This window comes from Homo sapiens, chromosome 13 (genome assembly GCF_000001405.40).
Source record: "Homo sapiens chromosome 13, GRCh38.p14 Primary Assembly".
Lineage (NCBI taxonomy): Eukaryota > Metazoa > Chordata > Mammalia > Primates > Hominidae > Homo > Homo sapiens.
Genome location: NC_000013.11, coordinates 30,042,860 through 30,058,248, shown reverse-complemented (window position 1 = coordinate 30,058,248; position 15,389 = coordinate 30,042,860). Strand labels below are relative to the sequence as shown.

The 15,389-nt window shown below is 42.3% G+C and overlaps 2 annotated features.

Annotated features, from left to right (window-relative positions):
- Positions 11,978-12,477: an enhancer, noted in NCBI's record as "H3K27ac hESC enhancer chr13:30619909-30620408 (GRCh37/hg19 assembly coordinates)". NCBI's record gives its function as "activates a minimal SCP1, AML or CMV promoter by ChIP-STARR-seq in naive H9 embryonic stem cells {active_cell/tissue: H9 hESC(naive)}" and the evidence as "EXISTENCE:reporter gene assay evidence [ECO:0000049][PMID:30033119]".
- Positions 12,478-12,979: an enhancer, noted in NCBI's record as "H3K27ac hESC enhancer chr13:30619407-30619908 (GRCh37/hg19 assembly coordinates)". NCBI's record gives its function as "activates a minimal SCP1, AML or CMV promoter by ChIP-STARR-seq in naive H9 embryonic stem cells {active_cell/tissue: H9 hESC(naive)}" and the evidence as "EXISTENCE:reporter gene assay evidence [ECO:0000049][PMID:30033119]".

The following is a 15,389-nucleotide window of genomic DNA, read 5'->3' as shown; positions in this document are numbered from 1 at the left end:
AAAAGACACAATTGACTAGGAATTGGTTACTTCTGTGGCATATACCAATTTTACATAATAATCATAATTGCTACTGATAACATATACTAAGACATATTAGAATCACAGGAATCTCATACAATTTTGGTACTTATACTAATAATACATTTATATAAATATTATCCAAAGAAGGTTAAACACCATTTCATACTTGACAATGCTTCCTGTGTGATTTTAATGTGCCAAGTAAGCCAAATATGTCTCTTTTGGACTTTAGGGTATCTAATAGCTAAAAGGGATAACCAGGTGAATAAAAAGAAAGACTAAATTTAGAATTTGACTTTGGAAAGTTTGTTAAATATTAAAATTTTAAACACTTGGTATTACAAAATAAAATCCCCAGGTCACTATAACCAAAAGGGAAAAATCTTTACTCACTGATAGAGAGGAGACTCAGCTTTCCAAACAAAACCCAATAAAGACAGCATGAGGCCAGCTGAATCTGTCTCTTTTCTCTTCCCTTTTTTTGTCATTTATTCGAAAGGCAAGCAAAAACCTTTCATTATCTCTTAATATTATATGAAAATACTGTTCAAAACAGAAAGCCAAATTTTGCCTTTGCATTAATGTACTATTAACATTAAACCCAATTCTTACTAAAACAAACAAATCTATCTGATCTTAATTACTTTGACCATAAGGTAAGATTTCCATAAACCTTTTATAACCCTTTACAATTTTCTGTTAAACAGCATATCAATTCTCTAAGAAAACCCTGTTATTCAGACCAACAGGCTCAGATTCTGGCCCTGCATCAGGGTGCTTTTATTTCAATGTTTAATTTATGGAAGAGCTAGAAAATGTTCCTCAAATTTTAGCCAACTTGCTCACACTCACATAACTTATTTTATAAGATTAATCTTTCACAAATCTTTTGCAACTTATTTAAGCCTTCAGTTTTGTCCGATTACTGTCTTAGGTTAGGATGATCCTTAAAAATCTCTGAATTATACAAAATTACATCCCCTTTAACAAAAAACATATTTTCAAACCTTCTTATAACCTTTACCAAAAACACATTCTACTTTCCTTATACACCTTGCATGTAAAACTGTTTCTCCTGTAGTCTCAAGTACATGTTACAATGTCAACTCTTAATAACTTTTATTTTTGGTGAAAGACCTGTTAAGTAAGTGATTTTAATCTTGTATCAGATTGTAGAGCCCAGGACAAAGACAGACAATGTCTAATTCTGCCCAGCCTAGCCAGGGGACCTGGCTAACTCCATACGTCCCCAGGCCTTACCTAGAATTTAATGGCTGTAAAATAGACAGGTCAAATAATTACTAAAGAATCACAGAAGGAGTTTATGACCTCAAAGCATCTAGCAAATAGTATCTGACCTACCCTATTTAGACCAAATGTCTAAACTTTGAAGACATTTCTATTTAACTTTACCAATGACCTTTTAAACTGTCTTTATTTTTCAAAGATCATTAGAGTCATGTGACTTAAAGGCATTAAAGTTTCTATTTTTCTTACAATATATTTGATTTAAGCACATATTATTTTTAAGCCAATTAATTAGAGCTCTTTTGTATAAATATCACACACACAACACATATATACAGACAGAAGCAAATCTGGTAGGGTGAGAAAAGATTAGATACAAGAGGAAGGAGGAAGAGATAGGAGTAAATGGAAAATCAGACAGAATTCCATCAACTGAGAAGTTTATAGCAGGGGAGCAAGGGCTTTAAAACAGAATCTGTGCACATATAGCCCAAATATTAGCCTAATTATGTCATTTCCAATTACAGAGCTCTCAAAATAAAAAGTATTTTAAAATATTTTATTACCATATTGTAGCCAGGACAAATGGCTGGCATCTCTGGCTTTTGAGATTTTCATTTCTTCTTCCCAAAGATATTCTCTCAAGTGGAACCAATACCCCTTAACTCAGGTTACAACTTAACTACAGATGCATGAGGTATCTTCAAAGAATGGCAAACAATTTTCACAAGATCTAGAATTTCCCCTAAGGTAGCTCAGAGAAAATAAAATTCAAGACAGGAAATCAGAAGCCATCCATGGAGGGGAAAAGAATCAATAAATAGCAAAAGTTTCACAACTCTCAAACTAGAAAGGACTTATTCCCAAAGCCAGAACTGAACCTAGGCCACCAGTGTGAAAGGGTAAAGGCTTAGCTACGGAGCTATAGTACAAGGTGACTGCTATTGCTTTTCCAAGAATCTAGTGTAGTCATTTTTGAGCTTGCAAGGGACTTCATTCAAGAGAATTAAGGCTAGCTATAACATTATCATGTGCCCCTTTTAGACCCAAGAGTCAAAGCCCTGTAACTTAACAGCACAAGGACTTTAAAAGCAATACAGAAAGTTACATGGATGCAATAAGCTTTTCGAGTTCATAATTTGAATTCACTTTTGTATAACTTTTGAATTAGACAAAATCATTCTTTTTCCCATTAAGAACACATCTTCTTTGGAATATTTTATATAAACCTAAGAAGCATGAAATCCTGAACTGCCTGTCAGATACTAATATTTATAGATGAGAATCATTCCACAATTTTGGAACATGTTTCCCATATAATAACCCTTTCTTTTTCTTTTTTTTTTTTTTTTTTGCAACGGAGTCTTGCTCTGTCTCCCAGGCTGGAGTGCAGTGGCGCAATCTCGGCTCACTGCAAGCTCCGCCTCCTGGGTTCACACCATTCTCCTGCTTCAGCCTCCCAAGTAGCTGGGACTACAGGCGCCCGCAACCACGCCCGGTTAATTTTTTTGTATTTTTGAGTAGAGATGGGGTTTCACCGTGTTAGCCAGGATGGTCTTGATCTCCTGACCTTGTGATCTGCCCACCTCAGCCTCCCAAAGTGCTGGGATTACAGGCGTGAATAATAACCCTTTCTTAATTGGAACTGATCCAGACATACATTAAGCATCCAAAATGATTTTAAGATTTTATGTTATTTAAAAAGTTTACTTACAAGCATTTATCTCATTTATATGTACCTAATTTTCCCATTTTAAACATTTATTTAGAATTACCTTTGAAAATTGATATTACACAAAGATGGTCATTATTTTATTTCCCTGTTAACTGTTTTTAAAGCTTGTGAACATCAGGCGTTTAAGTAAGAATCTTAAAGTTAAACACGTGGTCATTTTGTCAATAAATTCACAATGTGTCCGGAGTTGGTTCCTTCTGGTGGATTCTTGGTCTCGCTGACTTCAAGAATGACGCCGTGGACCTTCATGGTGAGTGTTACAGCTCAGACCCAAAGAGTGAGTAGCAGCAAGAGCTATTGTGAAAAGCAAAAGAACAAAGCTTCCACAGCATGGAAGGGGACCCCAGCGGGTTGCTGCTGCTGGCTGGGGGTGCCCAGCTTTTATTCCCTTATTTGTCCCCGCCCATGTCCTGCTGATTGGTCCATTTTACAGAGGGCTGACTGGTCCATTTTACAGAGTACTAATTGGTCCATTTTACAGAGTGCTGATTGGTGCGCTTACAATTCTTTAGCTAGACACAGAGCACTGATTGGTGCGTTTTTACAGAGTGCTGATTGCTGCATTTACAATCTTTTAGCTAGACACAGAGCACTGATTGGTGCGTTTTTACAGAGTGCTGCTGCTGCATTTATAATTCTTTAGCTGGACACAGATCACTGGTGTGTTTACAATCCTCTAGCTAGACAGAAAGGTTCTCCAAGTCCCCACTCGACCCAGGAAGTCCAGCTGGCTTCACCTCTCAAGATTTAGCTGTTTTCATTAAACAATGTTAAATGCCTTACTTATCAAAAATTACATAAATAAATGTTATAAGAGTTATTAAGAAATTATTTTAGGCAGATAGAGAGGAAAAGGTGTCCTTGGAAGTTTTTGTTTCTTTTAACGCAGCTCCAGAAACGTTTCTTGTCTAATAGGAAAGCCCTGGCTCTCAGAGCAGGGCAGCAAGCTTTGATATGTAAATGCCTGCCATAAGAAACTGGGTCCACCCAAACTTGGTGATTTCCACTGCCTTCTTCCCCTTGCCCTCACATGTGCCTGGCAACATGGCCACCCCCACATATCACTATGTGTGTAGAACATCATGGCACCCTGCATTTACATATTAAAAGGGTAGGGTGGGAGGGCCAGGTTTTTCGCGGGCTACTACAGGAATGACATGCCTGGTCAAACCAACCCCCTGAGCCCTATGCAAAACAGACACCACCTCCTCTTGCCTCCTCATATAAGCAGCCACTTTTCCGCTGCCCTTGGGGTTTTCTCTTTGTTCTTATCCCCCCTCCCTCGGTCTCTGTATGGGGGAGCTGTTTTCTCCTTCCTGCCTTCCTTCTTTCTTGCCTATTAAACTTTTCACTCCTTAAAAACCACTCCGCGTGTGTCCGTGTTGTTCTATCAAAATCAGCGCGAGACTAAGGATCCTGGTGTTCCTTCAGTCATCAGAGCTGTGTTATAAAGATCATTCCATTTTGGGTTGGGCTTATAATTTTATAATTCTTATGCCAAATTTTGACACCTAATAATATCTGGCAGAGATAAATATGAAACCACTTGATCAATAAATTCAAACAAAAATGTATGTTGACAATTCTTAAGACACTTCTAATATTATTTTATCAATGATTTAAAAGCCAGCTTATTTATTAAAGATAAGCATTTGGGCTTATTCACTTAACTTATGAGTACTCCCTAACTTTAAGCCAGTGTGTACTTCGTGGCTAAAATACATAACAAGATACATATACATACACAGAAACACACACATACACTCTCAAAAAAGACAAGCAGGAAAGAAAATAGAGGAAGATACAGCCTAACCAGCCTTCATGTAGGAGGCAGGTTTTCTAAGTGAGGTGTGAGAAAAAAGGGAGAGGAAGAAAAAAGGTGGTGACCAAAAGGAAATTCTGGAGCCTTCTATTAATAGCCACCACACAGTGTGAGGCTGCTACCCCCACTATTCTCATTTATCTTCCATAAAGTAGGGATCAGGGTCCATACACAAAGTAATACATTTGCAAACAAATAGCCTGTTTCCAAATGAGTCCCAATCAAGGGGACTGGGTGAGATCCTGAATTCCCTTCCTCAGTTCTAAAGGGCTCCATGGGTCTCTGAGTCTGATCTGAGTAAAACTCCTATGGTACTGCAGACACAAACAAATACAAGCGCATAAAATGCTCAAATGGTGTCACTAACAGCCACGTCTTAAGTAGAGCACAGCCCTAGCAACACCCCAAAAGAGGTATAGGGTGGGTGGGCACATTTCCAACAAACTTACCCAGTTCCAAAATTTGCTGTTTTTTTTTTTTTCTTCTAGAGGTCACTTTCTTCGTACCAGTGAAGCACTGAAGGCAGCAAATATCGTGCCAGGAGGCAAAACAGATGTTCCCCCAAAACAAAAATGTTTATGGCAGCTGCTGGGAAGTTCTGTAACACTCCCATCACAGGGTCTGCTAGCCATGAGCATCTGGACCCACAGGCAACCCCCGACCTTGCCCAGTAGTGAAATTGAGTTGACAGGCTTGGATCACCCAGGGCAGGCAGCGTTCCCTACATGGGCCACCAAAATTGTAACCAAAATGCAGGTTAGTTGCTCGCCACTTACAGAGAGTCCTATTAACAAGGGCAATGTATGGTATAAAGAAAGTGATTTATTTTCAAAGGTAGCTAAGGGGAAGAAGCACAGGTGTCCCCTTTAAATGTACCACTTCGCTTTTGGAGCAGAAAGCAGGCACTTTTAAAACGCAGGGTGGGGCGGGGGGCAGCAGTGAGCAAGGCAGCGGGGTCTATGTGTTAGCTCCAGTGCCTTATCTATTATGCAGTAGGTCACTGGTGACCACTGGTGCCTTTATGGGCAGGACTAGGCCAGAAATGCCCCAGATGGGGGAGAGTTTTATAGCTCTTGAGGCGGCTTCCTGGTGAGGGGGAGTCTCATAGAAATCAGCGGTATCTCTTGAGGCAACTTCCTGAGGGGCGGGAGTTCCACAGCAGGCATACTTTGGTCTGTAAATCAACTGTTAATTTTCAAGGAGTTAGATGAACTTGCCCTGTAGGGAGTATCTGGTGAAGGCGGGTGGGGTAAAAGGCTATATTTGCATTTCTAAAGGGCTAAGTAGGAAGTGGGGAACCAGGGAAATGAGAAAAGAAGAGAGAAAATATAATCATTAAACTACTTTTTAGAAAAATGGGGGTACCAGTTACATATACATGGTAGCATACTGTTCACATTGTGCTGCACCTGTTTTGTTTATTTGTTGCTTAACAGTACCTATTGGTGCTAGACCCGTAGCAATACATACAGAGCTGCCTTTTTCTTCTTAATGACTGTTAGTTGCTGTTTCTTGACCTCAAATTTGTTAGGAATTGCAGTTTGCAGCTTCCCTTGTACATAGGGTGGCTACATACCTGGTTGTGGTCACTGAGTTATATGCATGAGTGTATTGGGTGGGGCTTCTGGGAAAGATGTTGTTTTCCAGATAAAAAGAGGCAGACTTTCTCCCCTTCCTCCTTCTTCCTCCTAGAAAGCAGCTATGATGCCCCCAGAGCACAGCAGCCATGTTGTGAGCATAAGGAAGGAAGTTCACACTCAGGATGCTCAAGCTGAGGAGTGGAAGGTGACAGGGCAGAGCCATCGCATCTGTGCTGGGCCACCTATCTCTGGACTTTGTATTACCTGTGAAAGGAAACTCCTTATTTATGATACTATTTAATTGTCTGGATGTATTATTATTTATTTAACTAGTCTTCTATAGATGAAAAATTCTGTGATTAAAAAAAAACCTTGTACTATGCTGCTTTTCCATGTATAAGAATATTATCTATCTATAGGGTAAATTCTTATAATTAGATCCACTGAGTCAAAGGTAGATATATCTTTTTTTATTATTATTATTTTGAGACGGAGTTTCACTCATTGCCCAGGATGGAGTGCAATGGCATGATCTCAGCTCACTGCAACCTACGCTTCCCAGGTTCAAGCAATTCTCCTTCCTCGGCCTCCCAGGTAGCTGGGATTACAGGCATGCACCACCATACCTGGCTATTTTTTATTTTTATTTTTAATAGAGATGGGGTTTCACCATGTTGACCAGGCTGGTTTTGAACTCCTAACCTCAGGTGATCCAAGAGGTAGATATATCTTAAACTTTGGTTGGCCTTGCTGAGTTTTTCTCCATAGAGATTATATCAATTCTTGGAGAATTCTTAATGTGCTGAGGAAAAGTCATCGATATTAAGGCTTCCTGACATATATGATAAAAAATTAACTCTATTTTAGAATTTCTCCTGGTAAAGTAATTTGCTTTTCTCCTTTGGAAGGAGGGCGGCTTCAATAGACCCTATAACAAGAGTATAAGATACTATAAGATTCACATACTAATTGAAAGGAATTTATGAAAGCAATCATGAACTGTGAAATCCTTTCCCAAAATTGACCTTAGGGCCATATATCAGATACAAATCATATTTCCTTTTAGCGAAGACCCTCTTCCCTTCTTTTCTAACACAACAGGCTACTGATGCAATTCAACAAACATATTTTGGGCACCTACTGGGTGTCAGGCACCAACCTTGGTGCTGGAAAAAGAGGGATGCTATAGTGGGTTGAATTATTTCCTTCAAAAAGATCTGTTTATATTCTACCGTCTGGTACCTGTGGATGGGACCTTGTTTGGAATAGGGTCTTCGAGTAAGTCAAGTTAAGATGAGGTCATACGGAGTTAATGTGGGCCTTAAATCCAATGATTGGTGTCTTTATAAGGGAAAGGAGAGGGAGATTTGGATGTATAGACACAAAGTGAAGAAAGCCATGCAAAGACAGAGGCTGAGATTGGTTATGCTGCCATAAACCAAGGAAAGCCAAGGATTGCCAGGAGCCACCTGAATCTGGGATGACACAAGGAAAGATTCTTCCCTGGAGCCTACAGAGGGAGCATGGCCTTGCCAACACCTTGATTTCAGACTTCTAGCTTCCAGAACAGTGAAAGAATACATTTCTGTTGTTTTAAGCCACCCAATTTGTGGTACTTTGTCATGGCAGTCCTAGCAAACAAACACAGACACCAGAGTACATTACCTTCTAGGAAGTGGAGGGGCCACTATTTCCTTCATGACTTTAGTGATGTTCCTAGCATGTGTGTCTATGATCAACCCAGTCACACTGCATGGATCATTGTCTGTTTCATGCCTATCTCCCCCGTCTAGGTTGGGTTTCCTTGGGGGAGTAACTCTATCTGATTTGTTCCTTTATCTCTAGAGTTGGGGAAAGTGGCTGACACTTGGCAAGTGTTCACTAAATATGGCCAAGCTCTGTATCGGTTCATCAATGAATCATCTTTCTTGAGAGGAGGAGGAGCCTGGGCAGCACCTTAGGGCTGAAGAGTTCTGTCATCGCCAGACACACACTCACTGTGAAGAGTTCTGTCATCGCCGAACATGCACTTGCTGATTTGCTACCACTGACCTGGCTCTGGCTCCTCACTTTCCCCTTTCTGCCAATGAGATTATTCTTACTGTCACCAGGACAAACATAGTCACCTTTGCCCCCTTCCCATCCCCTGCCAGGCACTAGTTTCTGCCCAGCCTTTTTTGTCTTGTCTCTGGAGCCCTTTCTCCTTAACACCCTCCCTGGCACCCCATCCTCCCCTGTGACCCCACTCTCCTTGGTGACCCCAATTTTCAGCTCCATGCTGATAATCTCTAGAACCTTATCATGGGCTCAGATGACATGACTTCCAGACTCATCTCTGCAATCCTGCCTCACATCTCTGCCAGTTCATCTTGGAGGTGCTGAACTCAACCTGTCTACCTGATCTCATAATTTTCCCCACCAAACCTTCACCTCCTCTAATGCTTCCCATATAACTACACTGTTTAAAACTACAGGAATCCTAGATATTGCAAAAGAACTCCTTTCCATGGTTCACACAGCCCTTCACAATCTGACCTGCTTCCAGCTTTTCTGGCTTGCTTTGCTCCTCCCACATTGAAGGGTCCTTCAGTTCTTCAAAATGGCTGACCCTCTTCTACCTCCTGACCTTGGCACTTACTGTTCCCTCTGCAGGAAATATTCCTCTCTCCCTTCTTATTCTGACTGCCGTCAATTCATTCTTCCCATCTGTGTTTAAGTCCTCCTTCCTTGGGGAAGATTGATTTTTATAATCATCATCCACATCACTGAATCTCCCGTTGTGCAATTCCATTGCACCTTGACCTTCCTCTTTCTAACATGCCTCACACTGGTAATTGTTAGTTTTAATATCTATATTCATTTATAGATGGCAAAATTGTTTTTTTGTTGTGTTTTGTTTCGTTTTTGAGACGGAGTCTTGCTCTGTTGCCCAGACTGGAGTGCAATGGCATGATCTTGGCTCACTGCAACCTCCGTCTCCCAGGTGCAGGAGATTCTCCTGCCTCAGCCTCCCAAGTAGTAGCTGGGATTATAGGCACCCACCACCATGCCGAGATAATTTTGTATTTTAGTAGAGATGGGGTTTCACCATGTTGATCAGGCTGGTCTCGAACTCCTGACCAGGTGGTCCACCTGCCTCGGTCACCCAAAGTGTTGGGATTACAGGTGTGAGCCACCATGCCCAGCCTAGATTGCAAAGTTGTATAAGGCTAGGGACCACTATATCTCCAGAGCCTAGCACAGTCCTCTCCACATTTTAGGTGTTCGATATATGTTTGTCTAATGAATGAGTGAATCTCCAGGAGACATAGTAAATGCTAACTAAAAATTGGTTTAATTAATCAATGTAAATAAATTGTTATATATGTCAGTTGCAATCACTCTACTTTAATCCTTTATCAACTCAAAACTGGATTTTTGCAATGTCACCTTTACCAGTCTCTCTGCTTCAACTTACACTGTGTAATTACATTCAGGTCAACTGTTGCAAAGCATCACTTTCATTAGGTAACTCTCCAGAAGAAAATTCATTCACAGCTCCCCAGTACATTTAGAGCAAAGTCCAAACTCCATGGCTATGCTGATCCCTACAAAATATTTAGCATAGACTTCAGATGCTGTGTGCTAGAGTTAAGGTGGCCACTCATGGGCTTCTGTGGGCTAGCCTGGTGTTGAACCAGCATTGTGTGTTTGGAGAAAGCATCCTGTTTACAAATGAATGTTTGGAAATGCAGCCTGTTATTAGGTATGAGGTTGCTTGGTGTTTGAAGTTGATTGTTCCTAAAGGTCACCAGGCAATGTCTCCAAGCAGTCAGCACATGGGCTTTCAATCATCTTTAACTAGTAGTCATGCTTGGGAGGGCTTAAAAGAGTAAGAGAATACGTTTTGCATGTATTTGCATGGCTTACTCTCCTGAAGCTTTCAAATTTTAAATGAAATGATTACTTGTTTGCCTGATAACTTTTTAAAAATAGTAGAAAGCCCATTGTCCTTAGGCTTAAGAATAGCTGGGTCTGACCTTTCTTCATTTGGAAGATGCTGTCTCTGCAGCCTTTGTGGTTTCAACTTGCTGATTACAGCTTGTGTAGGTGGGAGGAGGCATGGCTAGTGGTTTCTTTTTGGCTGTGGGTATAATTGTTGGTCTGGGTATGAACCGTGATCCAGCCTTACAAGCAGCTGGCAGCCCCTAGCTTAAACCATCTTTGGGTACTTCCTCTCAGACATGCCTAGCCAGAGGCACACAGATGGAGGTCTGAGCAAACTGGAAAGCTGGAGGCTTTAGCTTTGGCATGTGAGTGTTCATTTTCTACTCCCTCCTACCTTTGGGCATCCACCATTCATGCTATCTTAAGCCCTCTTGCCCATCAAAGCCCTCTTGCAAATCATCCAGTGTCAGTTCGTTATGTTAGAGAGACAGGATAGCGTGCTTAAAAGGGAGACCTCTGGTGTCAGCCAAAGCTGGATTTTCATCTCTGTTGTACTATGAACTGTGAACTTTGGACAATTTAGTTAACCTCTCTAGCTTCAGTTTCTTCATCTGTACAATGCAGGTATTAGCATTTAGAGCCATGTTGAGGATTACATGCAATGACTTGAGCAAACATCTGCCTGTGATACAGTAAGTTCTCACTAAGCATCAGCTATTATTATTAAACATGTTTTAGTGTGACTGAGTTGAATTGGGTTTGAATTTTAAGCTTGGTTGCTAGTCTGAAGAGGGAGGGCTTTATTGCTAGAGCCACTGGGAAGATGTGGGTGGCTGTGAAAGAGGTGTGTTAGGAAAAGCTTCCTCCCCTAGATTGGCCAATAGTGGCATGCTATAGTACTGAAGACCTAGTCCCAGGAGTTGCTGGGCCTTGAGGGACAGACACAGGCCTAGCTTTTTTGGGGCACCCTGGAACATGAAGCCACCCTGACTCCATCCTAGGATGAGTCTTCCTGACTCATTACGTGTCAAATGTCACCTTCTCCATCCCCTATCCTGCTTCTCTTTCCCTACATTCTGGAACAGAGGATGTTTGAAATTCAGAATTCACTTCTGAATTATGCCTTGTTCTACCACTCCTGGGTGGGCTGTCCCAATCTACGTGCTATTTTGACCATGCAGGTAATCCCCTTTCACACATACACAGGGCCTTGTAGCCAGGGTTCCTGTGACTTCAGGCCTGGGACATAAATGGGAAAGGTGTTCCAAGTCCCGATGGGAAGCAGAGCATCAGGAAATCTGGGGTGTGGCCAAGGGACCTGGACAGATGCCTGAAGTCAGGGGAAGAGGTTTCTGGAAGTTCAGGCATCAAGACAAGGGTGAGGAATATGAGGTGCATCGCAGGGATGACCTAATTAATTCTGCTTTGTGGAGAACTCTCAAGCTTGCATGTAAAAGACTCCTGCCCACAGCATCTTAAAGACAACAGACGTCTGACTTCGCTTCCTCCCACCCCCGGAACTGGACCAGCATTGCAAGCCACTCTTGGATTTATTGTTCATAGGAATGGCATCTACACTTTCTGTTTGTCAAGCACTAACTATGTGCTGGGAATACATTCATTGAATGCATTCTCTTCTTGAATCCTTACAACAAATCAATAAATTAGCTACTATTATTACCTCCATTTTACAGATGAGGAAATGGAGGCTTACTAAGTGGCTTAAGGTTAGCTAAGGTCACTGAGCTAGGTAGCTATCCTATATTTGGCTCATGGCCAGTTCAAGCTTGGAATCATCTCACTGCACATACTACTTCCTGATTGTTGTATTGGTTACAGGCTACTGGTGTTTTTGCAATGGGACAGAAATTTTTGGACCCCAAACATTTCAGAAAGGCTCACGCCTGTTGCTCCTTCATCTTCCCTCCATGTGTGACTTGCATTGGCTATGACTGAGTCTCCACTGCTCACCTGGCTCGGATTGTGACCTGCCCTTGTCAGGATGTCTGTTCTTCCAGTTTGAACTTTCTTAGCTGCCTGATTCCCACCTCCAGTTACCCCTGTGCCTGTGCTGTCTGCTCAACAGCAGCCCATTTATGCTTCTGGTATCTGTTCCCAGAAGGGCCTTGTCCTGGCCTCCTTCTCTAGGCCTCTGGTCAGTCTACATTGCCGCTTCTCTCTCTTTCACCTCCAAGGCCGCTGATCATGACATCTCTCATTCCCTGGGTGTATCTCTACCCCAGCCCAGGCCCTTGAGGACTGGCTCTTCTGCTACAGTGAGTTCTCCCTGCCTAGACGACAGAGCCAGGGAGAGAGAGTGGGGGTTCGTGGGACCCAGGTCTATAGAGTTAACCTCTACCTTTGTCTTTTGCTTAATTATTAAAATGCATATTACAGTAGAGACAATGGGGACCACCGTGTTTGATTACAAACACACAGGAAAAATTGTAAACACTTGTAGCAGGTCAATCACTTATTTGTTAGTACACCCATCACACTCATACATTGCATTTCTGTGTGATTATCATGTAATCAATCAATGAAAAATTTGTCCTTGGATAAAATAGCATGTTAGCTTTGTTAGGTTAATTTTAGTTTTTATTTATTTACAACCCTAAACTCTATCTTATATAGCCTTGCCCTTCCTGGATAGATAGTGATTGACTGTATTTATTTGGCCACAACTAAAGCTTACTAGGTAGTGTTGGTCTGACTTATCATGTCGGTGCTTTGCTGGGGAACTTCCCAGAGAGAGTTCACAGCCCTGAGAGTGAGTCCAAAGGAGGAGGCTTCCCCTACCTTCTCCACAACAAGAACAAACATGCCTATGTGAAAATAGAGTAGGAAGGGCACCTCATCCCAGCAGAATGTGGAGGGGACATATTTCTGGGTGATTCTGGTCAATGCTTCTACCATTGTAGAAGAGACCCATTTTGAGTCTACATTGTGATTGATATTGACTAATTAGCCAGGTTTGTGTTACTTAATTTCATTTGTTAGTGTAGATTTTTCCTTAAGAAACAATAAAAGCAATCCAGTTCAGGATTTTATTCTTGGATGAGGAGCTGGGCTGAGGACATGATCCCTGTTTGGTGTAGATGGAACCCACTCAATCACCAAGTCATTCCGCAAGGGCAGGGGCAATGCTGGCCAAGTCTGCCCTCTGACAAGGGGACACTGAAAGTGATCAAATTGCTGGGATGGGGAAGAGGCCTCTTTAGCAATGACCTGGGCAATATGCATCTCTGCAAATTGAGGGAGGGAAAGAGAGCTCTAGAGGCCAAGCCCGCAGGCCAGGGTGGCTCACTTTCACTTCACTGCCTGTCGAATCAGGCCCCAGGAGTGTCTTCCACAAGCCTGGCACTAATGTCACTTCACTGAGCCCTTACTGTAAGTATCAATAGTTAGTAATAGACTGATCCTTTATTCCTCCTTTATCCTTGGTAGTGGCCCTTTGACAATATAAGAGATTACAGATGTGTGAGAGAGAAATTTGCCCAACTGCACACCATTCTCAAATATTTATTTATTCTTTTCCAGCTCTGGTTAAATTTCTAAACTAAAGGGAAGGCAGATGGCTTCTTAAAAATAAAAATAGACTTCATTCCCCGAAGTTGCCCAGCCTTGTTTGAAGGGCTGAACCTGGTGTTTGAAAGATTCTGAAGACACGCGTGTAGTTTTATGTTGCATGCTGCAGTGAGATGGACAACCATAGATCTGTGAAAATGACCACGGGAAAGCTCAGGATACTCCAGAGAACAGACTCCCAGGGGCCTTCCTGCCATGCCCATGATCAAGGTCTGCAGGAGGAACAGGATTGTGGGAAAGAACAAGAGCATGAGACCCAGACTGTTTTGGGGCTGAATCTTGGTCTAGCTGTTGTGTGACCTTGAGCCTCAGTGTGCTCACCTGTAAAACGAGTTGCATGAAGACTCAGTGAAATAGTGTGTATTAGTGATCTATTGCTGTGTAACAAATGACCCCAAAACTTAGTAACTTAATACAGCACCATGGGTTATCTCACAGTTTCTGTGGCTCAGGAATCTTGGTGCAGCTTAACAGGTCCTCTAACTCAGTGGCTCCTGAGACAACAGTCAGGGTGTCTTCTGGGTTGCAGTCATCTCAAGGTTCAGTGGGGGAAAGAGCTGCTTGCAAGCTCACTCATGTTGTTGTTAGCAGGCCTCAGTTTCTGTTGGGCCTCCTCCCTCTGACTGATGCTCAGGACTGTGAACTTCCTCTGGGAATTTCCCCAGCAAAGCACCAATATGTTAGGTTAGACCAACCCTACCTAGTAGGTTTTCACTGTGGCTGAATAGATATGGTCAAACAATATCTGTGGCCTCAGGTCCTTACAGCAGTTGGCTGGGGATGGTCCTCATTCCTTGCCCTGTGGGGGTCTCCAGAGGGCAGCTCACAACAGCAAAGCTTGTTTCCTGAGAGCAAGTCCTGGAGAAGAGCCAGAGGGAGAAGGAATTCCAGCAAGAAGGAAGTCACAGCCTTTTATAACCTGACCTCAGAAATACAACCTATTTCACCTGCCCTATTTTATTGTGAAGCAAGACACAGTCTGCTCACAAAAACAAGGGACTGTAGAAGGGTGTGAATGCCAGGAGGCAGGGATCATTAGGAGTCATTTGCAAGCAGCCTACTGCATGATGTGTGCATACAGTGTGTATCCTTGCTTCACATGGCGGGCACTCAGTTAATGTTAGCAGCCTCCCTGCTCTAGTTTACATGGACTTTTAGAGCTCCTGTGCTATAATGGCAACTCTGCTTGGATGAGGTATAACCTGTGGTCCTTGGGAATCTTCTGCAAGCCACAGAGCTACACGGATTTTTCAGTCTTCCCCTCCTGGCAGTGTGGCCTATGAGGAGAGTATGAGTCCACATAGTGGCCAGCGCTAAGCCCAGAGGTAGCCGGTCCCTTCTTAGGTAGTTCCTGCTGGAGTCCAATATACCAGAGACAGATTTTGCCTTCACCAGGACATACGGAGCTCTTACAATGTTCTGGGAAGCATCAGGAAGCAAAACACATTGAAGGTCCTGCTCACAT